Source organism: Homo sapiens, chromosome 7, assembly GCF_000001405.40.
Source record: "Homo sapiens chromosome 7, GRCh38.p14 Primary Assembly".
Taxonomy (NCBI): Eukaryota; Metazoa; Chordata; class Mammalia; order Primates; family Hominidae; genus Homo; species Homo sapiens.
In genome coordinates this window covers 129,619,512-129,642,533 of record NC_000007.14, presented here as the reverse complement: position 1 = coordinate 129,642,533, position 23,022 = coordinate 129,619,512, and the positions used below count along the sequence as shown (strand labels likewise).

The window sequence follows — 23,022 nt, the reverse complement described above, 5'->3', positions numbered from 1 at the left end:
TGTATTACAAATATTTTTTCACTTAATATAGATTAAAATATTCCATGTTATTAACATTTTTGTATCTTTTTTAAATGTCTACAGAGCATTCCCTGTAAGAACATACAGTAGTTTAGTTTACCAATCCTCTGAAGTCATTTAGGTTATTTCCAATTTCTCACTATTATAAATAGCACTGTTAATGATAACTAGTATTCAATAAATATCTCTTGAATAATGAGTAAATAAATGGTTTAATAAGCTGAGTCTTGGCTGGGCGCGGTGGCTCACGTCTGTAATCACAGCACTTTGGGAGGCTGAGGCGGGCATATAACTTGAGGTCAGGAGTTCAAGACCAGCCTGGCCAACTGGGTGAAACCCTGTCTCTACTAAAAAAAAATACAAAAAATTAGCTGGGCATGGTGGCGAGTGCCTGTAATCCCAGCTACTAGGGAGGCTGAGGCAGGAGAATTGCTGGAACCTGGGAGGCGGAGGTTGCAGTGAGCCGAGGTTGTGCCACTGCACTCCAGCCTAGGCAACAGAATGAGGCTCTGTCTCAAAAAATAAAATAAGCTAGGCTGGGTGCGGTGGCTCACACCTGTAATCTCAGCACTTTGGGAGGCTGAGGCGGGTGGATCACAAGGTCAGGAGATCGAGACCATCCTGGCTAACATGGTGAAACTCCATCTCTACTAAAAATACAAAAAATTAGCTGGGCGTGGTGGCACGCACCTGTAGTCCCAACTACTCGGGAGGCTGAGGCAGTAGAATCGCTTGAACCCGGGATGTGGAAGTTGCAGAGAGCCGAGATCACACCACTGCACTCCAGCCTGGGTGACAAAGCGAGATTCCATTTCAAAAAAATAAATAAATAAAAATAAAATAAGCTGAGTCTTTAAGCACATACCAAATTATTTCCTTAGCTTTTAAAAGACATAAACATTTTGAGTAATCGTACACTTATGATTCTGCATATGTTCACAGCAGGCAGAGAAAGCGAATGCAATAAAAACAGCAATCTAAATATAAAGGAAAGCACACAATACTTGGTGGTGAATGGAAGACAGAATAAAAATATTAACCTTTTATAACCTAGACAATATGCAAGTTGAGTACAGGTATCAGAAGGTAGAATATAAAAAGAGGGACGTGAAGGGGGTATTTACAATCCCATTTTCCAAAATGGCAAGTTAAGAGGCCCTACAGGAAGTTGATGGATCAAAAAATTAAAGTTTATCATTTAAAATTATAAAGATAATTAATAAATGACTTTCAAAGTAATATAAATATCAAATAATGACAGGGGTAAAAAAGTGAGTTAAATTCTCATTTTTCACATCAAAAACTTCACAGGTATCATCTAAAGTTGATAAATCAAGGAACAGAAGTCTAAACACATTATTAAGGCTTATGGAAGTAACCACAAGTGAAGCTAAAAACAGAAATAGTGAAAAAGTTTTTAAAGGCTGTCTCTGGATAGTAGGACTGGGATGGCAAGAAAAGGGAAGAGCCAGGAGGCTTATGGTTATTCATCATAAGGTCTCCACGGCTCTGTGATTTGTTAGGATGTACAAATAACACCCTGATGAAGACTGGCTGAAAAATCTGGAACTGTTTACTTTGGTTCCCAAAGATATAATCTTACCTTGATAACTGGTCAAATCCAACTGTCCACAGAGCATTCCTTTAACCAGAGGCAAACCTAAAATGCTTAAGACTTTGGAGACTAGTTTGATGTTCTCATTTTCCAAATTGTGACCAAGAAAGACCCAGTGAGTTACCCAAAGTCACATCTCTAATTGGTGGCAAATCCAAAACTTGAACCCCTATCTCCTGCTTCTCAATCAAGTGTTCCAGCTGCTCCATCAGAGTCCCACCCTTTGTACCCGAGCACAGTCTCCACTCATTATTTGCTTGGGCTCCTTAACTGCTAATGCAAGCTATTATGTATTAATAGCTTAATAATTAAGCTATTAATTAATTAATCTTCAAGCCAAAATTTGGGTTTTACTGGGGGTACGGTAAATTTGGGTTTTGTCTTTTAAGAGACAGGGTCTCACTCAATCACCTAGGCTGGAGTGCAGTGGTGCAATCATGGCTCACTGCAGCCTTGACCTCCTGGGACCCTCCTGCCTCAGCCTCCAGAGTAGCTGGGACTACAGACGGGAGCCACCACGCCCAGCTAATTAAAAAAATTTTTTTGTAGGGACCAGGTCTCACTATGTTGCCAGGCTGGTCTTAAACTCCTGGGCTCATGCGATCCTCCTACCTTGGCCTCCTAAAGTACTTGGATTACAGGCATGAACCACAGCACCCAGCCGTGAATTTGTATTATAAAACGGTATGTGTGTTGAATTGATTTTTCAAATTGTACCTGCAGCCACCCATCCTGGTCCCTCTAATACATCTCCTGCTCCCTCAACCCTCAACCCCACCATCACTGCCTTAGATAATATACAATAGCTACTTTGAGAGTTGATTCCCACAAACTGAGAGGTCTGACAGCATGATTCTCAGCCACAGGAATAAATGCAGTTTATAAAGTTGCCAAAGCAGTCTTGTGAAGCTACAGTATTCTGTGAGCGCCAGAGTGTTCAACTGACTTTATGTTCTTCTTCACCTATATTAAATTGTTTAGCTAACTATCCATTCCCATTTTCAGTAGATGGAAAGAGAAAAATATTACTTTTTTTAAAAAAGGGGGGGCGGAAGAGCGCAGTGGCTCACGCCTGTAATCCCAGCACTTTGGGAGGCTGAGGCAGGCGGATCACCTGAGGCCAGGAGTTCGAGACCAGCCTGGCCAGCATGGTGAAACCCTGTTTCTACTAAAGACACAAAAATTAGCTGGGTGTGGTGGCATGCACCTATAATCCCAGCTACTCGGGAGGCTGAGGCAGGAGAATGGCTTGAACCCAGGAGGTGGAGGTTGCAGTGAGCCCTGAGATCATGCCACTGCACTGCAGCCTGGGCGACAGAGCAAGACTCCATCTCGCAAAAAAAAAAAAAAAAGGGTTGTGGGGACAAGGGGCTGACTTTTTAAGGAAAATGGAGAGTTGGGCACACCATTTCTATGTTTGTATTAAACCAATTTATAAAAATTATTTTAAGTTGAATTTTAAAAGGTATGAAAATCTGTACAAATTATTATTTATATAAATTTAGGAACAAGGAAACAACAAAATGTAAAACTGGAACCACGCCAATTACTGGAAATCAAGTATATATGGAAGAGTCAAGATCAAATAACCAAAATCCCCATAAATTGTCAGGAGTTTGAGAGCAGCCTGGCCAAAATAGTGAAACCCCATCTCTACTAAAAACACAATAATTAGCCAGGCATGGTGGCGCACGCCTATAATCCCAGCTACTCGGGAGGCTGAGAAGGGAGGATCAGTAAAGCCATGGAGGTCGAGGCTGCAGTAAGCAGAGACTGTGTCACTGCACTGCAGCCTGGGGGACAGAGTGAGAACCTGTCCCAAAAAAAATTCCCATATTTACTTTGTGAGTTAATTCATTGAGATAAACTGTATCTTGAATTACTTAGAAAATTAAAGATGCCATATAATCAAAATTAGAGGCACAGTAGTAAGAAGGAAAAAAAATCAAATTAGAATCCTACACAAGGATGTTAAAGTAAAAAAGCATATTATATTTCAAGACTAAAGCAAAATTTAGAAAGTAATTGAACATAAAATTAAAATGCCTTTACCTAAAACTAGGCATAACATCTCCATTTTAGAATTTAAGTCTATAAAAGATATCACTAAACTCACAGAAGGAGGGGAGAAATGCTACCTAAGTTCCTAAAGAAATCAAAACTACCTAAATAACATTTACACTATATTTCCTGTTTAAAAAAACCAATCACCAAAATTTTTCCATGACTACTACCAATGTTGCCATTTACAAGAAGTATAGGCTAGAGAAGAGAATAATTATCCCATAAGAATAAAAAATATTTTTCTCAATACCACTTTCTCAGTGTAATCTTTGATAAAATTCTCAAAAACAGAAGGGGAAAAGAGGCCATCAAATGTAATTTACCATACCCACATTTATCAGCAGCTACTCGGTCCTGGCCACAATGGATGTCCTGCAGCTGGCTGTCAAACCACCAAAAGCTGCTCATCATCCACCTTCCTAGTCTCTTAGAACTAAGCTCACTTGGGTCAAAACAAGTCAACCGTCTTTCTCGCCAGCAGTAATATGCTGGAATAAAGTGTCAAGTATAATTCTGGCTGCCAAGATTTTGTTCTGAAGAACAGACTTGTAACTATGAAAGGGGACATTAAATTAGAGCTATTGTCTGAAAGAAAAGGGCAATCTGTATCTGTAGCTTGACTGGGATAACACAGGTCTTGATCTGTAGTCAAACCAGAGGAAAAGGAAGCAACCAGAAAAAAACACCACATATCACAACCCCCAAAAAGAGTGAACTATTGAAAAAAAAAAAACTGTGCCAGTAGCAATGTACAAAAAAAACTAGAGTCTACTTTAGAATAGACTCCATGTGCTGTGCAACAAGGAATATTAACTCTTGGTACAGAGAAATATCACAGAAGCCTTAAAGCAGAGGTGTCCAATCTTCTGGCTTCCCCAGGCCACGTTGGAAGAATTGTCTTGGGCCACACATAAAATACACTAACACTAACGATAGCTGATGAGCTTAGAAAAAAAAAAACAAAAAATAAAATCACAAAAAAATCTCATAATGTTTTAAGAAAGTTTATGAATTTGTGTTGGGCTACATTCAAAGGCATCCTGGGCCGCATGCAGCTTGTGGGCTGCGGGTTGGATAAGCTTGTCTTAAAGGATGAAATAGATTTATGTGTATTGACACACAAAAAAATCCATAAAATGATGGAAATTGAAAACAACAGGTTATAAAATCTGCTAGAATGAGTGTGGTCTCATTTTTTTAAGTGTAAATAAATATGGTTGTGGACAAACAAAATAATTTCAAAAGATATACTAAAACTATTAAGAATACTTTTTATCTATGCAAAATAGAATTATGGATTATAAAAACTTTATTTCTGCTTTATAGATTTATTTCTCCCTTCAAAATAATAAGACTGTGATTACTTTTATAACCATTGTTATGTCCAGGTTTGAGAAAGAAAAGACAAACAGCATAAGCTCTTCTTCTTTTTACCAAATGAAATACCAGAGGCCTCCAAACTCATGAAATCAGGGACACATACAGACTTTCCAAGCTGCCCAGTGTCCTCTGGGAGCCATTTTCTTCCTTGCTTTTTTGCAGGGGTTTCCAATGAATCTTCTTCTTCTTTTTTTTTTTTTTCAGCAGAGCCTTTTCTTTAAGCAGAATCCTGTACAGAACCTCAAAATGTAAGGTAACAGTGGAATTTCTTCTATTGAAGGGTATGGGAATGCAGAGAGTTAAAGCCATTCATCCTCCTCACCACTCAGAACTCCAGAGCACAAGTGGAAACATGGTGATTAATCCAAGTATTTCACTGTACAGTTGGGAAACTGAGGACCAAGGATTACTCTCCTGTTAAGCCCTGTCTTATTGACTGGTCTGTGGGTCATTTTACTTACTAGGCATTATAGACACAGTAACTGGGGCCTGCAAGCTTTTCAAATACATACTGAAAGTTTAAGAGAAACTGAAAACACACAAATTGGCTCCAATAACTGTCAAAAAGACAAAGAAACATAATGGTTCTTGAAGTTCAATATGATTCAAGCACTCCAAACACCCTGGCAGCTTTGCAAATGAATACGTTTTTCTATTGTCTAAGGTTTATGTTTAGCCATACGTATCTATCGAAGCAACACAAACTAGAATCAGCTATTGAGAAAAGACAAGTGGAAGAAAAGCAGCAGCAGAGGGATAGTTTTCGAAACTGAAAAGAGACAGAAAAGATACATTGATCAAATTCCCCAAACACCCCAATGGCTTAGTGAGCATAATCTAACAAGATAAATGTTCACAGGCATAAACATATCATTCTAAACTTTGTTCTAAAAAAACCCATTGAAAAGCCAGGTGCAGTGGCTGACGCCTGTAATCCCAGCACTTTGGGAGGCCAAGGTAGGCAGATCACCTGAGGTCAGCAGTTTGAGGTCAGGAGTTTGAGACCAGCCTGGCCAACATGGTGAGACCCCATCTCTACTAAAAATACAAAAATTAGTCGGGTGTGGGGCACACACCTGTAATCCCAGCTATTTGAGAGGCTGAGACACAAGAATCGCTTGAACCCAGGAGATGGAGGTTGCAGTGAGCCGAGATCACACCACTGTACTCCAGCCTGGGCAACACAGTGAGACTCTGTTTTGAAAAAAAAGGAAAAAAACCCACAATCCATTGAACAAAAACAGGATGATGGAGACTTGTGTCATCATCACAGAGAAAGTAAAAAGATTCAGAAACACTGGCTCACAGTAAATTTAGTCTGGAAAAAAAAGTATCACATGACAAGCAACATATGCACAATGTGAACAAAGACCACTCCTGTACTTAGCCCTGGGCACTCCACTTTTAAAGATACGAGAAAAAGCCCGTTACATTTCACTGGGACTATGAAAATGCTTAATTAATGAATAGTTAGAAAAATAAGAGGTGTTTAAATCTAAAGAAGGACTTTAGGAATCTCTCTCATAAAATATTAAAAGACCATTATGAGGAAGAGGAATTAGATTAAGTCTGTGACCCTAATAAAAAAAAAAGGTAGGAAATTATGGCAAAATTCTGGTCAACAGATCATTTTTCTAACGGGGTGTATAGACAGAGTGGCTGGAAGCAGTGAGTTCTCCCATCACTAGATGTCCTCTTGCAAAACCTAGACAACCACTTGGGGGCACTGGAGACGTGGGCCTTGCATGCATCCTGACTTAAACGAGCAGGCAGAAAGAAAGGTAACAAAAAAAGATTCCACCCCAGGAGAGTCTGAACCCTGCGGTCCAAAAGTGTTTATTAGGAAGACTGTCTTAGGTCATTTGGATACATACCCCAGATAAGATTGGATACAGTCCTTGCCCTTCTCCTGGGAGAACAGAATCTATTGATATTCTGCTGCAGCTGGGGGTATGTACAAATGCACATACAAACAGAATTATACAAACAGTATGAAGCTAGCCTTAAGCAAAGGCTCGGTCCTCTTTAAAGAACTGTAACACTCCCAAAGGTGGTGTGCTTAAAAAACAAACAAACAAACAAAAACTGTAACAGTAGAAGCTGAAAAGCTCTCCCAGAGAAAGGTAGGAAAAAAACCAAAACTCTTCTGCTATCATAGTCTTAAAACATTTTATACAGTTGCCCTATAATTAACAAATTACAAAGGAAAGCAAGTTTTATTAACGTATTGTTTCCCTTTTCCCATCTCTGAAGATTATATTCTATATAGTCAAATTAATGCTCCAACAATACCTTACTTAATGCTACAATCTCAACCATCCCCAACCGCCTAGAGACCCTGAGAAAGGACTTGGACTTGTTTTATTTTGCCTTTTAAATTTATACACTATTCCAACAAATGCAGTCCTCTGATTTCTGAGGACAAAGCAGAACTGGTAAAGCAAGATAAAGAGAGTAAAAACACATGGAAAAGGAAAAAAATAGATAAAGAAAAGAGAAAGCAAACAAGAACAAGCGAAGTACAACCAGCTGGTATTATTTATGTAGGGACAACCAGCCCCACAGACCTCAATTACTTGTAATCCTATCACAGGGCAAGCAGTCCATCAATATACCTGAGTAAGGTGTTTTTGAAAAACACACGAGCAACCTGAAAATATATACATCAGCCACTTTGGAAGCCTGTTTGGCAATTTCTTACAAAACTAAACATAGTCTTACCATAGGATCCAACAACTGCACTCCTTGGTATTTACTCAAATATGCTGAAACTTATGTCCACACAAAAACCAGCACACAAATAAATATTCACAGCAGTTTTATTCACAATTGCTAAAACTTGAACACAACCAAGATGTTACTCAGTATGTGAATGATAAACAACTTGTGGTACATCCATACAGTGAAATATTATTCAGCATTAAAAAGAAATGAGTTATCAAGCCATGAAAAGTTATCAAGCCATTAAATACATATTGCTTAGTGACAGAAGCCAATCTGAAAAGGCTACATTTGTATGATTCCAACCATAGGACATTTTTGGAAAAGGCAAAACTATGGAGACAGTAAAAAAAAATAGTTGTCAGGGGTTAGAGAAAGGAGGGAAGACAGGAGCACCAGGAGACTTCTGGATTAGTGAAACCATTCTGAATGATTATATATTTGTCAAAATCCACAGACTGCACAAACACACAGAATGAACTTGAATGTAAACTATGGACTTCTGTTAATATTGGTTCATCAACTGTAACAAATCTACCACACAACAGCAAGATATTAATAAAGGAAATGGGTAGGAGAGAATATGGTAACTCTCCATACTCTCCACTCAATTTTTCTGTAAAGCTAAAACTGCTCTAAAAAATAAAGTGTGTGTGTGTGTGTGTGTGTGTATATATATATATATATATCTTTTTTTTTTTTTAAATACAGATGTAAAAAAACAATATTCCCTTAAAAAATCACGGTCAAAGTGGGGTACAGGGATTTTCAGGCATGGTCAGGAGCTCCACCAATCTAAATCACCACAGCCTGCCGTTATATAATGCTGAATACTTTCACAGATTTATAGTTTATATATTATAAATTTGTTACACATATAGTTTATATATATTTATTCTTAAAGTACAGTTTTATATATATATACACATACACACACACACACATCACTTATAGTTAATAAGTATGGTTATCTAGTGCTGAATACATCTGAACATAAAGGGTGAGCAGTGGTGGGAAAAGACTGAGAAGTCAGGAGGGTTGGTCAGCTGCATCCACTGAAGATTCCATGTTGCTGGTGGAAGTCTCCCCCTCCTGCCACTGGTGAGAAAAATGGCTCAGACTGTTGCTTCTTCACTTTAAAAAGTTTGGTGGAGCTCTTGTTTGCCAACAGTAGCCTATGGTGGCACTTGTCTTAAATTGTGTATCATGCTTTTCCTGCTCCCTCCCTGCAGTGGCATAGCATGTTAATAAAGATCTAACTAAAAAGTGCACAAGGGTTCAAAGGCACCTAGAACAAAAGAAGTCACAACACAGTTCAGTAATCAGTGCTTTCCACAGTGACATCAAGTTGCCAAGAAAAGATAAAATTATAAGCACACCACAGTATTCTGGCTTAATGAGCACAGAAATACTTGTAGGCTTTTTATTTTCCTTTTTCCCATAAAAAATGGTTAAAACCAAAACAGTATTTAACGTTTAAAAAGATAAGCATCACCTATCTGGAAAATTTGTTTACTAGAAAAATCTCATATAAATTTAAAAGCATGTTCAGTAATACAGCCTCTTTCCAGATGCCACTTCTATGGTGTTTGCATATTAAGAAATAGACTATCAATATCTGGTATAGGTAGTAAATTTACCAAGTATGTCTGATATATAATGCTCATTCATTTTCTTTCCCCCTTTTCAACTAAGAATCAATTAAAATGGGATTACAGGCTTTATGTAGCTGTTTTGCAATTTTATGTAATCCTTAAAACTGGGTCCCTTTTATATTAAAGGGTACCAAAAAATACATACATAAGTGGGAAGACAAGAAGCAAAGGAAAAAACCAAAATATTGACTGTAGTATCTCTGGATAGCTGGGCTACAAATTTTTATCATCTTCATACTTCCCTTTATTTTTAAAATTCCCTACAAAAAACATGTATTACTTTCACACTCCATTATATCAAATATCTACAGCATTTAAAGTGAGTAAACTATAACTACATGTACCAATAAAGTTTAACCTCTTATACAAAGCTTAAAAACATATAAAACAATATTACACTTTTTAGTTTTCCCTGCAATCCAAACATTGTTTTTTTTTTCAGTGGATACATATATATATACAGAAAAAGTTTGTAAAAATGCAGGGAGAGAATAAATATCAAATTGAGAATAATGGTCACAGCTGGGAAGGGAGAGGACTAGGATGGGGAAGGGGTGCCCAATAAGCTTCAACAATAACTGTGATTTTTATTACTTTAGGTAGTAGGTATATGGAATTTATTATATTGTTCTATATCCTTTTTTATGCCTAAAGTATTTCAAAAATTGTTTAAAGTGGCAACTACTGTAGTCATACTAAAAACAGTAGGACTTAACCCTAATCTCTTCAAACTACTTAAATGGGGTTATAGTACTGAGTAAATCAGAGATAAATGTATCTATTATAATAAGAAAATTCTTTTAAGAGACAGGGTCTCCCTTTGTCATCCAGGCTGGAGTGCAGTGGCATGATCACACCTCACTGTAGCCTCAAACTCCTAGGCTCAAGCAATCCTTCAGCCTCAACCTCCCAAGCAGCTGGGACTACGTGCACATTACCCACGCTCAGCTAATTTTTAAAATTTTTTTAGAGATGCAGTCTTATTATGTTGCCCAGTCTGGTCTCGAACTACTGGCCTCAAGCAGTCCTCCTGACTTAGCCTCCCAAGTAGCTGGGATTACAGACACAAGCCACTAAGCCTGGCATATAATGAGAAAATTTTTTGAGAAATTTAAAGCAGTTCTGAAGGTCAGCAGTCATGCATATTTATAAGCAAACAGCAATCTGAAATCCGTGTTCCAAAAAATACCTGTAGCAAACATTCCAATCTATGCCTTACACAAAGAACACAAATTTAAATCTGTCCAGTAAACTTAAATATATACATTATTTTGAATATGCCTTTTTTTACACACTTATAACTCTAAAAGAAGATTTTTTACTTTGGTCAGTTTTAAACAGTCTTTTAAGAATGTCATAAAAATAGAATTAATTTCTGACTGGTATTTCCCAGGTTGGTGATTTCAAATCAGATGGTTTCAGTTTATCATCTTATAATATGCTATGATAAAACCAGGCTGAGGAAGTCCAAGGAAACACTGAATAGGCTTCTCCCTGAAAATCAAGTTCCTGGCCAGCCTCCATGGCTCACACCTATAATCCCAACACTTTAGGAGGCCAAGGTGGGAGAACTGATTGAGCTAGGAATTTAAGACCAGCCTGGGCAATATAGCGAGACCTCGTTTCTAGAAAAAATTTAAAACCAGCCTTGGCAACATAGGGAGACCCCATCTCTACAAAAAAATTAAAAAGAAGGAAGGCATGGTGGCGCACGCTTGTGATCCCAGCTATTCAGGAGGCTCAGGTGGAAGGACTGCTTGAGTCAGGGAGATCAAGGCTACAGTGAGCAGTGATCACATCAGGGTAACAAATCAAGACCCTGTCTCAAAAAAAAAAAAAAATTAAATCAAATTCCTTAGAAAGATTCAGAAATATTCAAGGATGTTAAGATGTCCCTGGGTCTCTTGCTATAGTCTCGCTCAACTCTATGAAAAGTAAGTAAGCAAACTGATATAAGAAAGCTCATGAAAATGTCCCACATAAAGGCAGAAACTTTGGCTCAAGTATTTTAAGTATCAACTTCAAAGTTATAATATTTTCATAATATAAAAAATTTTGCTCAAAACAACATATGAGTGTTTCATTTACTGGTCCTCAGCATTTGATACTGATTTAAAATCAATTTAGGACAAAAAGGAGGTCAAACTTCGAAATGCCTACAAAATAATTTTTTTAGGTTAACATAAAACTGGTTTAAATATTCCAGGTATTTGAACTGATCAATCTTTTTATTAATCTACTTTCTTTAAAAGAATAAATAAAAATACTCTTTCAAAGCAATGCCCTCACCCAATTTTACACTTTAACTTCTGTGAGGACAAAATAATCTGACAATTTACCCAGTGTAGTCAGACTCTTTCTTATTCAGGAAACTGCCTCTTCCAATCCAAAGAATATCAGGATTTATAGAAAACAAAGGTTTCCTCGGACTATGCCTCACAACGACAAAACAAGAAAGAAGCCCAACATATTACTTAGAAAGCAGAAGAGGAACAACAAAATGTATTTCTTAACTCACTATGGAAAATCAAAATGATTTGTTTTAACATTCACCTTCTATAATCCCTTTTGAAAAGACATTACTAGATCAAGCACAAGCAGAGAACTATTGAAATTTAAATTGAATGTTTGCTTTTCAGATCAGATCCATCCTAGTTGAGGACCCTCTCTCTAAGAGACCATTACAAATTTAAAGACACAGAAAGTAGAAGACTCATTAATAGGACCCAGGCAAGGCTCAGACTGTTAGCTCTGTAAGTACTATCACCTTATATTTTGTTCTTTTATTTCATCATTTGCATTTACCAAGTGTATATCATCCACATTCCATTTGTTCACTCTATTCTCACAAACGTCTATGGAAAAGCTGCCTGAATGGATGGGAGACTGCCTACATTAATTTTACTCACCAAGTTTTGTCCTGTTTAAATGTCAGCATACCACATTCATTAAACAAATATCCTTTGAGCACCTTTTCTGTGTAAAGTTCTGGACCAGGAACTGAAAGGGGATATTAGGATGATTAGTTCGACCCTCAAATAGCTTAACAGCAGTTCTCAAAGTAAACCATGGGACCCTGGGGGTCCTTGAGATTCTTCAAGTCATCAATGAGGTCAAAATTATTTTCATAATAAATAAGATGCTATTTGCCTTTTCTCAATGCATTTATATTTACACTTATGATGCAAAAGCAATGGTGGGGTAAAACTACTGACACTTAGCACAATTTAAGGTAACAGCACAAAACTATACTAGTAGCCATTATATCTTTCACCTTCATGTGCTCACGATAAAAAGGAGAAAAAAGTCCATTTTATTTAAGAATGTGCTTGATGAGAGTAAATATTATTAATTTTATTAACTCTTCTCCCCAGAGTTATGTCTTTCTACTATTCTGCGTAACAAATGGAAAGTATGCATAAAGCGCTTCTGTTGCATTCAGAAGTGTTGCATTCAGCTTTCTGCTGCATTCAGAAATGGCTGTCTCAAAAAGCGTGTGTGCGGGCCGGGTGCAGTGGCTCACACCTGTAATCCCAGCACTTTGGGAGGCTGAGGCTGACAGATCACCTGAGGTCAGGAGTTTGAGAACAGCCTGGCCAACATGGCAAAACCCCGTCTCACTAAAAGTACAAAATTCAGCCAGGCGTGTGGTGGCAGCTGTAACCCCAGCTACTCAGGAGGCTGAGGCAGAGAATCGCTTGAACCCGGGAGGCGGAGGTTGCAGTGAGCTGAGACTGCGCCACTGTACTCCAGCCTGGGTGACAAGAGCAAGACTCCATCTCAGGAAAAAAAAAAAAAAAGCGTGTGTGCTATGTTTTATGTTGTAAGCTGAATTAGCTGCTTTTTTTCACAAGGAATACAATTTTTACTCCAAAGAGTGGCTGACAGACAAACTATATTGTTCTTCAGACCTCGGTATTTGACAGACATTTTCTCAAAAATTAAAAGTGGGTCTGTCACTTCAAGGAAAACAACTGACAATATTTTTTGCCAATGATGGAAATTTGATATTTGAAGTGATAATTAGAATTTCGGAAAACTTGTATCTGCTACAGTGAGTCTAATAGTTTTCCATTACTTAAAAGCCTTTTCTGATGAGACTGGTGGTGATGTTAAAGAATGTGATTTTTGTGTCAATATTTGAAAGATCTCCATAAACTTGATGAATTAATATTTTCCAAATTACCAATAGATGATGTTACAAAATCATGCATCAGTTAAAATATCCATTCATAGAGCATGATAAACCAATAGGTTTTAATGTAAGAGTAGTTACCATTTCAGATTTCACATTGCAACTCATCTTTAAGAAACTACCACTGCTGAGTTTTAATATATCAAAGAATATCCACAATTATCTGAAAAGGCTCTTAAAATACTCTTCCAACCACATATTTGGTATGAGACCAGATCTTCTTTTTATACTTTAACCAAAGCAACATACTACAGCAGACTGAGTGCAAAAGCAGATGAGACTTCAGCTGTCTTCTCTTAAGCCAGACATTAAAGAGATTTGCAAAAACTGTAAAATATAATGTTTCTCACTAAAGTGTTCTGTTTTGAAAAAGTTGTTTTTCATAAAATAGTAACATAATTAAAATATTAACTTTTTAACATGTACAGGGTTATTTTTTAAATTAAGCACTTTTAAATTTTCTCAGTTTTAATTTCTAATATAGTATCAAAAGTTATAACATACATAAATAAAAGCTATTATATTTGGAGTCCTCAATAATTTTTATGAGAGTAAAAGGGTCAGGAGAGCAAAGATTAAGAACCACCGAGACGGGCAGATCACGAGGTCAGGAGATTGAGACCATCCTGGCTAACACGGTGAAACCCCATCTCTACTAAAAAAACAAAAAAATTAGCCGGGCGTGGTGGCGGGCACCTGTAGTCCCAGCTACTTGGGAGGCTGAGGTAGGAGAATGGAGTGAACCCAGGAGGCAGAGCTTGCAGTGAGCCAAGATCATGCCACTGCACTCCTGCCTGGGCGACAGAGCAAGACTCCGTCTCAAAAAAAAAAAAAAAAAAAAAAAAAAAGAACCATTGGCTTATAGTACAGTAAGAGAGAAAAAAACACAAATAATAATCCAAGGTAGAATGTGATGATTGCCAGAGTCCTTCTATTCCTGGGCATTCCTGCTCTTCCTAAACTAGACCTATGCTACTTACCAGGCTCTTGAAATAATTTATTTAGCTCTGCTGTCAATATAATCAAAATGAGTCATTCATTTAGCAACCATGAAAAGGGTACAAGCAATACCAAGATAATGTGTTAAATCAATTTCAATTGATGGGTTTTTCTTTACTTGCTTTCTAAATAAGTGACCTGAATTAAAATTAGTTTTATTTCCCTGGTAGAAACTGAGTCAGCCTATAAGGACAATTCTTTCACAAAAGACTATATATAATAGTCAATTCTCTTGGAAATGCACCCCACACAATCAAATTGTAATGGAAAGCTATGGAATTTGGTGCCCTATCAACAACAGGACAAAAAACTTGGAGTCCTACAAAGGTCTTGAGGATCAGGATACAAAATGTTACTCTTTTTTAAAAAAGCACTTTTGCTGGGCAAGGTGGTTCATGCCTGTAATCCCAACACTTTGGAGGATTGCTTGAGCCCAGGAGTTTGAGACCAGCCTGGGCAAGATGGTGAGACCTTGTATCTACGAAAAAAATAAAAAGAAAAAAAAATGGCCAAGCATGATGACAGGCACCTGTAGTCCCAGCTACTGGGGAAACTAAGGTGGGAGGACTGCTTGAGCAGGGGAGACTGAGGCTGCAGTGAGCCGAGACTGTGCTAACTACACTCCAGCCTGAGCAACAGAGGGAGATCCTGTCTCAAAAAATTAATTAATTAACAAAAGCACTTTCTGGAGAACCATATGCATATATGCTATCATTTGTGTTTTAAAAAGGGAAGGACACAAACACACAATTTCTGCTTAGCCTACGTGGAAGAATACGCAAGAAACTGCTAGCAGTGGTGGTTTCCAGAAAGGGAAACTGGGAAACCCACTTTTTACTGTATTCCTTTTAACCATGTGCATGTAATACTTATTAGAAACCACACTAACCTAGTTAGTTTGAATATTTTAAAAATACCACTTCACCTATGTCTCTAGTCTTTTATATCAAATGCAAATTCCAAAACTACTAGTAGATATGAAAATCATTAGATGTACATTTGTTACTTTAGCAATGGATACACATCTCACACTTGACAGAAGCATCAAAAGCAAGCTGTCCATCAACCTGAAGGTGATCAGCCATTGATTACCTGAAGGAGTACCTGATTTCCTGATCACAGAAGGAGAATAAAGATGCATCCATCTGCCCAACATAATTGGTGTAGTTGCTACTTCTTCCCCTTTTTGTATTCATCACAGCATTTAAGAAATCTGATAGCACCAAAGTAGGTAAGTTTAAATGCTCCTTTAAGTCACCCAGTAACATTAAATTCAGCATTCATTCAGCTCCTACTATGCACTACGCAGTATGACTTAATGTAACACTTGTAACACACAATGTAATATGTTAGAGGGTGCCCTTGCATCCAAATACTTTATCCAATATAAGTTCAATCACCAATGACAAAGATTTGGAGGTTTTAACCAATTCTAAGTTTAATGAGCCAATCTTATGATGTGGCTACAGATAAACCTAATTCAAACTTAGACTGCCTCACAGTTGGCTAAATGATGTCCAGAACGCAAAAAAAATCGGAGCCACTGCAGCCTGTACTTATCGGACCAGCCCTACAACTCTCATGCTGGGTTCTAGGCCACACAGGATACTCAGGGACTCTGACAGTAGTGCAACTACTGTATGTCGAAGGCAACATTGAATGAGTTAGCTACCATGTGCCAAGTATTTAATATGAATTTTCCTTATATCTTCACAAATCAATAATAAAGGCATTATTGTCCCTGTCTTAAAATTAAGGCAATTCAGCCAGGGATGGTGGCTCATGCCTGTAATCCCAGCACTGTGGCAGGCCAAGGTGGGAGGATCACTTGAAGCCAGGTGTTTGAGACCAGCCTGGCCAACACAGTAAGACCCTGTCTCTAAAACAAAAATTAAAACATGGGGCTGGGTGTGGTGGCTCATGCTTGTAATCCCAGCACTTTGGGAGGCCAAGGCGGGTGGATCACAAGGTCGGAAAATCAAGACCATCCTGGCTAACATGGTGAAACCCCATCTCTACTAAAAATACCAAAAAATTAGCCAGGTGTGGTGGCAGGCACCCGACGTCCCAGCTACTCGGGAGGCTGAGGCAGGAGAATGGCGTGAACCCGGGAGGCAGAGCTTGCAGTGAGCTGAGATCGCACCACTGCACTCCAGCCTGGGCAACAGAGCGAGACTCCGTCTCAAAAAAAAAAAAAAAAAAAAAAAATTAAAACATTAGCCGGGCATGGTGGCACATGCCTGCAGTCCCAGCTACTCAGGAGGCTAACACAGGAAGACTGCCCGAGCCCAGGAGTTTAAGGCAACAGTGAGCCATGACTGAGCCACTGCACTCCAGTTGGGGAGACAGAAAGAGACTGTTTCTAAAAAACTAATAAATTTAAAAATAAATAAATAAATAAAATTAAGATGATTCAGACTCAGAAAAGTTAAATAACATGCTCAAGGTTGCAAACTTAGTAAGTGACATTAACAGAATTTAAGCCCAGAGCTCCTATAGTGGGTTGGACTGTGGCTCCCAAAAAGATATGTTCACATGCTTACCATTGGCACCTGTGAATACTACCTCACTTGAAGAAAGCGTCCTTAGAGATGTAACTAAGGATCTTGAGATCATCCTGAAATATCTAGGTGGGTTCTAAATCCAGTGACAAGTGTCCTTTTAAGGGTGAAGCAGATAGAGATTACACGGAGAGGAGACAATGAGACCATGGAGGCAGAAACTGGAGTGATGTAGCCACAAGTCAAGGAATGCCACCAAAGGCTGGAAGAGACAAAGAACAGATTCTCCCCCAGAGTCTCCTGAGGGAGCGCCACCCTGTGAACACCTTGATTCCAGACTCCTAGCCTCCAGAACTGTGAGAGAATACATTTCTGTTTCTTGAAACCACTAAGTTTGTGGTTTTATGGCAGCCCCAGGAAACGAATGCAGTCCACAAACTCTCTCTCTCCAGCATTCCCTATTGCCTTCCCAAGGTTGAAGGATCTAGGGATATGTAAACTAAAATAGGGACGACTCGGACAATAAGGAAAATGAAAACTATACTTGCTTTTGCAAGCCCTAGAGAACAGAGTAAAATCAGTAGGTAAAAATTTTAGGGATACCACTTGGGAGACTGAGGCAGGAGGATCCCTTCAGCACAGGAGTCTGAGAGCAGCCTGGGCAACACAGAGACGTTGTCTCCAAAAAATAATAATAATAATAAAAAGGCTCAGGGAGAAATTTCAGTTGGGAAAACTTTCCAACCATCCAAATATCTTAAAGACCAACCAGACTTTTGGTAGGTGGTTACGTTTCCTATCACTGGATGTGTTCAAGAAGAGACTGAAGACTTTTAACTTTGGAGAGCAGAGCTTTCTTAGATGATTTAGAATCTCTTCCCATCCTGAGTTCCTAAAATTATAAAATGTTAGATAGTACCACAAAAGCCTAAGTAAAGTAAAATATTACAAATGAGTTTCGCCAGGTTTCTACAATCATTCAAATAAATACTGCTTGCTATGTCTCAGGCACTGTGCTTGGTAATGAACACCAACACAGTATCTACTCTCACGAAGCTTACAATCTGGTGGAACAGACATATATCAAGCAATATGCAAACAAATGTAAAATTATATATATATGACCACCTATGATGAAGGAAAAACGCAAAAAAGAGGGAGACCAGGTAAAACTTCCCTAAGGAAATGATGTTTGAGCAGAGACCTGATGGATTTAGTCATCCTTTGGTATCTGGGGGTGAATCAAAATCCACAGATGCTCATGTCCCTTTCAGCTGGGCCTCCATATCCACAGGTTCTGTATTCTCGGATGGAAAATACCATACCATCTGGCTACAAAATGGATTTCTTCAGAATGAAAGCAATCATTGTGGTGGATTCTCAAGTGAGAATTAGCTCTTGCTTTCATACCTTTCAGATACAGAAGTTTAAGAGAGAAAAAGTTTGCACTTTTTATTCTCAGATTCTCTACCTCCCGCCATGTCTGGAAGATACTGATTTAAGAATCTTGTGAAGCATACATTCTAAAAGTTCTTCTTTTGGAAAAGATCTTAATCTTTCAAAGTAGAAGGGAAGAGAATAAACAAGTCGGACTTTGTCATCGTCACCTCTACAGGCTTTACTATACTTAAGAGAAAAAAATGACATTAGTTTAGATACTAAATGCAGTCACTAAGAAATGATTTACCCTAGATTTGCTTTCCATTTTGTATAAAAAATAAAAACAAAAACAAATCAGTTACCAGAGGGATTAAAAACAGAATTAAATGAGTAGGCAGGAAAATTGGGTTACACTACTAGCTCTAAATAGGATTCTACCATATAAATTTTTTAAGAAAGATACCTTTGAGAAAGTTCCAGTTATTCTTTACACAGAATTAGAATTATATATATCACATATTTCACTGAGTGTATGAGTTGGATTACACAGCATTTTGAATATTTATATTTTATCTATACAAAATCTTTTGAATTCCCTAGAGATAATGCAAAAAAAAAAAAACAGGTATTTTTAACACTACTGTATTATACTATTGCTACTACTAATACTTCACGTGCTGACAACTAGAGTAACTCAGAAGCTCCCAGGGTAAAATAAAAGACCAATGCTATCTTGAGACAAGGTTCTTCACTTCAGAAACTAACCTGCAAATAGAAATCTTAGCTCAGGAAGTATCATGGCAGAGTCAAGAAAAAGCAAGTTAATATGTGAAGGAAATCGAGGTTAACCCAGGATTTAGCTTTCATTCTGCACTAAGTTAGCTTTCATTGGCAAGCCCTTACACCCTTACTCCAAGTTACCCTTACCTCAGCAAGACCATAAAGAGTATGAAATGGTAAGCATTTCCTCAACAAATATGTATTAGGAGAGAAAATTTAAAAATATCTTTTACATTTCATTAAAACAAATGGATCTGTAACTGTCTCATTAAGAATGTTTCAAGGTAAAAATAAATTGATAGTGTGAATATGTATTGTGTATATCCATGTGTGCTTAGAAAAATATCTAAACCAGCTGGTCGCAGTGGCTCAAGCTGGTAATCCCAACACTTTGGGAGGCCAAGGTGGGCGGATCACCTGAGGTCAGGAGTTCAAAACTAGCCTAGCTAACGTGGTGAAATCCTGTCTCAACTAAAAATGCAAAAATCTGCTGGGCACAGTGGCGGGCACCTGTAATCCCAGCTACTCAGGAGGCTGAGGTGGCAGAATCGCTTGAACCTGGGAGCCAGAGGTTGCAGTGAGCCAAGATTGTGCCACTGCACTCCAGTCTGGGCAACAGAGCGAGACATTGTCTCAAAAAAAAAAAAAAAAGAAAAGAAAAGAAAGAAAAATATCTAAACCATGCATATTAAAGTATCTTTGCATTGTAGAATTATCTTTAATTTTCTTCTGTTTTTCTACAATGAACATGACATAGCTTTTTCCATTAAGAGAAAAATATATTTATTGTTTAACATGTAACACAGACTTAGAATCGATTTTGGAAGAAATTTTAATTTAGAAGAAAATTTAAATATCATTTCTGTCCTCCTCATTTTTCAAATGGGGAAAAAGCCCAGTAAAGATAAGTAACTTGCCTATCCAAAATCTGACAGTGAAGTCATTAGGGCCATAATTGTGTTATCTGTATTTATGTTTATTTTTTCTGCTCGTAAACGCTAATGCATTTTCATTAAGGATAACTTGAAAAACAATGGAAGGTATAAGAAAGAACATGAAAATCACCTAATAAGCTTATAGACCAAAGACAACCACTAATGGGGGGTGCTTTTCTTCTAAATTTTTCACTATAAATACATTTCGGCCGGTCACGGTGGCTCACACCTGTAATCCCAGCACTTTGGGAGGCCGAGGCGGGCAGATTACAAGGTCGTGAGTTCTAGACCAGCCTGACCAACATGGTGAAACCCTGTCTCTACTAAAAACACAAAAATTAGCCCGGCATGGTGGCGGGTGCCTGTAATCCCAGCTACTCAGGAGGCTGAGGCAGGATAATCGCTTGAACCCGAGAGGCGGAAGTTACAGTGAGCCAAGATCATGCCACTGCACTCCAGCCCGGGCGACAGAGCGAGATAGTATCTCAAAAAAAAAAAAAAAAAAATTCTATGGAGAAAAACTTTTAAAATAATAGAGCCAAAAATTAAAGAAGACAACAATTTTAACACTCAGTCGCATTACCACATAATTCTGGTAACATATCAGAATTACTTCTTCTTTAGACTTAGCACCTACAGCTAGTTTTGGGGTAAGAGACTAGTTCTATGATGGTATTCCATGATGTGTTCTTACTTAGCAAATCTTGGCTAGTTCTTTGATTTGTGGGCTATTTTTACATGGAAGATCTGTTACCAAAAATTTTATTTCATAATTGTTTAATGAAAGAAAGAACCAAAAAAAGTTCCCAAAGGAAAAGACAAAATACTCCATTCTATCTGGGCCCTCTTTGGAGATTTACTGAATGTAAAGATCATCCACAAACACAAGCTAATTACAAATCACATAACACAAGTTTAAGATTACCCAACATATTTATTCATATCATTCTTGTATTTACCAAGACTACTGGTAAAATAAATAAAAGTTGTAGACCCTCTCCCCAGAAAAATCACAAATTAATCCCAAGTGGCATTAATTTATTTTGAGGGTGGCAAGCAAAAGTATGGATATCACTGCCCCAGAAACTAGGGCCTAGCTGACAAAACTGCCTCCTAATCTAATTTCAAAGATGCAAAGATTAGCAGAAGGAAGTAAAAATTACCAATTATCTAAAATTTCAAAAAGAAATATTTTGGAAATCAAGTAAGATCTAGTGAACACATAATGTGCTTGAATTTCTTAATTTTATTCACGACTTTAGAAATGTGAATGCCAGCAATTTCTTAGCATTAAATCATCCTGGATCTCAAAGTATTCCATAATCGTCATATTTCAGAAAGACACTACAAAAACCATCAACGGTATTTTCATTTCATGGTCAGAAAAAATTTGCAAGGAGAAAATAAATGTCTTGCCCCATATCACTAGACTGAAATATTTGTGCATTTAAAATTTTTTCCAAAGCATAAGCAACACCTAACTTAAAAATGAATTTTTTCTGACAGATGAGCCAGCTTGGTAGAAAAATTTTTTTCCAACAAGCACAATCTATCAATTTGTTTTCTTTCAAAACACTTTCCCTTTAAAACAATAGTAATTTGGGCCCAGTGCGGTGGCTCATGCCTGTAATCCCAGCACTTTGGGAGGCCAAGGCGGGCGGATCACAAGGTCAGGAATTCAAGACCAGCCTGTCCAATATGGTGAAATCCCATCTCTACTAAAAATAAAAAATTAGCTGGGCATGGTGGCAGGCGCCTGTAATCCCAGCTGCTTGGGAGGCTGAGGCAGAAGAATCGCTTGAACCCGGGAGGCGGAGGTTGCAGTCAGCCAAGATCATACCACTGCACTCCAGTCTGGGTGACAAAGCGAGACTCTATCTCAAAAAAAAAAAAAAAAAAGTGATTTGATTCCCCTACCCCATAAAGCCTACTGTATCTACAGTGCATGAATAAACATATACTAAGTGTCAGTCCTAGAGTATAAAAAAACCAAGCAATCCAGAGACTTGACAAAATTCTGAAATCGGTTAAGCTTTGCTTTGGCATTCCTCCTACCTTCCTTCTGGTGCTCCTACTCCCATTTCTAAGAAGTTCCTCGTATCTTTCCAAAGTTCTTCACCTGAGACACCTACTCAAGATTTCTTTCCCTTGATCTGTCTCACTTGTTGAGATAACTGATTTCAGCCAACGAACACAACCAACACTTGATTTAATCATTAACATTTAGTAAAGGCCCTTGACTTTTCTGTGTGTCAACAGCCCCCTTGAAAAATCTCATAAATGTTGTGGACCCTCTCCCCAGAAAAATCACACATGCACTCACACATAACTTTTCAAACAATTTTAAGGGATTCAGGGTCACACAGCCAAAATATATAAACCCCAGAACCAGAAAACCCCAGGTTAAAAACCCCCATACTTAACATATTAATATCATAAAACCTCAAAACTCTGCAAGAGGTTATTTGTATTTTAAGACACTGTCAACTCAAATGAAATCTCCAATTCTCAGAATTTAAGACAATGTAAAAGAGGCAAAAAAAAAAAAAAACAACCCAAACAATATGGAGATTTTTAGGCAGCCTTGTCATTGGGGGTCATCTCCCAAAGCATTTAAGCTGCAACTCCCATTGCAGAGAGACATGGAAGAACAGGACCTATTTCTAAGCATGGGTCTTCTACTAAGTTAGATTCTGTAGGACCTACCCCTGAATTTAGTAATGCTCTAGAAATCTATTCTGTCTAAACTATCATGGTTCCCAGCAAAACAATACAT

The 23,022-nt window shown here is 37.9% G+C and overlaps 1 protein-coding gene across 4 annotated transcripts in view; it reads right to left on the bottom strand.

The window, feature by feature from the left end:
- NRF1 (nuclear respiratory factor 1) overlaps positions 1 to 23,022 on the bottom strand; it is a 145,357-nt gene that overhangs the window by 114,543 nt on the left and 7,792 nt on the right. Inside the window, exon 1 of one of the 4 annotated variants that reach the window (NM_001040110.2) lies at positions 12,366 to 12,466. The exons of the other annotated variants lie outside the window; for them this stretch is intronic. The gene's annotated coding sequence lies outside the window, so the exon portion shown is untranslated. Of the gene's footprint in view, positions 1 to 12,365; positions 12,467 to 23,022 lie in introns of those variants that run through there. 4 annotated transcript variants of the gene reach the window in all.